Source organism: Homo sapiens, chromosome 10 (assembly GCF_000001405.40).
Source record: "Homo sapiens chromosome 10, GRCh38.p14 Primary Assembly".
NCBI lineage: Eukaryota > Metazoa > Chordata > Mammalia > Primates > Hominidae > Homo > Homo sapiens.
In genome coordinates, this window is record NC_000010.11 from 62,968,390 (window position 1) to 62,969,557 (window position 1,168).

Sequence of the window (1,168 nt, forward strand, 5' to 3'; positions counted from 1 at the left end):
TTTTATAGACCTTGTTATTTATCTGTCCTTGGCTTCTGTAAGGAACCCTGGCATTTTCCTGATAACACGTGTTCTCTTTCTTGAGTTGGCCCAAGTAACCGTCTTTGCTTGCAACCAAAGAACTTCACCTGATAGAGTTTGGTACTTTGTTTTAGGAATGGACAGTGGCTCAGTGAGGGAAGTAGAAAGAACCAGGGCTTTCTTTTTTCCAATTCCTTACCCACCCTTCCAACAGCACCCATCACACCTTCTCTAAAAGCCTTCACTGGCTATTTCAATGTAGCGTCACCTCTTGACAGATATTGTCACTTGAAATGACCATTATTTATTGAACATGCATTGTCTTTTACTGTTAGTGTTTTTTTCCTAGACTGTAAGGACTATGCAAATGGGACCACACATGGTATTTTTTCTTATCTTTCACACTGACAAGTAAATACTCCATTAACAACTGTCGAGTGAATAACTGTGGAAGCCAGCCTCCATAATGCTCCCAATGATTCTCACCCCTTAGTGTTCATGCCCTTATAGTTCTCTCCCACAGTGAATAGCTCTGACCTGTACACCTAATTAGATATTTTAGAAAGAAATGTTGTGACTTCTAAGGCTATATCCGTCAAAGTCATTTCAGCTCCTGCCTTCATCTCTTTTGGATCACTCTATTGAGAGAAACCAGTCACCACATCATGAGGACACTCTAGTGGCCTTATTAAGAGGTCCACTTGGTAAGGAATTAAATCTCTTGCCGACAGACAGACAGTACTGGCTTGCCAGTGTTTGCCATCTTAGAATTGAATCCTCTGACCCCAGTCAAGCCTTCAGATAACTGGTAATCTGGCCAACATCTCAATTCTAACAACATGAGTGAGAAACTCTGAGTCAGAACCATCCAGTTAAGCCACTTCCAAATTACTGACCAACAGAAACTGTACAATAATAAATATTTGTTGTTGTTTTAAGACACGAGGTTTTTGGGTAATTTGTTATATAACAATAGATAACTAATACAATAATTAATTCTATCCTGGGAGAAACACAAACCTTATGTTTATCTGAACTGTAAGAATGAAAGAAAGATGGGCCGGGTGTGGTGGCTCATGCCTATAATCCCAGCACTTTCGGAGGCTGAGGTGGGTGGATCACTTGAGGTCAGGAGTTCAAGACCAGC

General features: G+C 40.7%; 1 annotated feature.

Moving 5' to 3' along the window:
- Positions 463-632: an enhancer, noted in NCBI's record as "experimental_13913 CRE fragment used in MPRA reporter constructs". NCBI's record gives its function as "activates a minimal promoter by MPRAs in K562 erythroleukemia cells, with activity observed for both the introgressed and non-introgressed 10:64728697 variant alleles {active_cell/tissue: K562}" and the evidence as "EXISTENCE:reporter gene assay evidence [ECO:0000049][PMID:34662402]".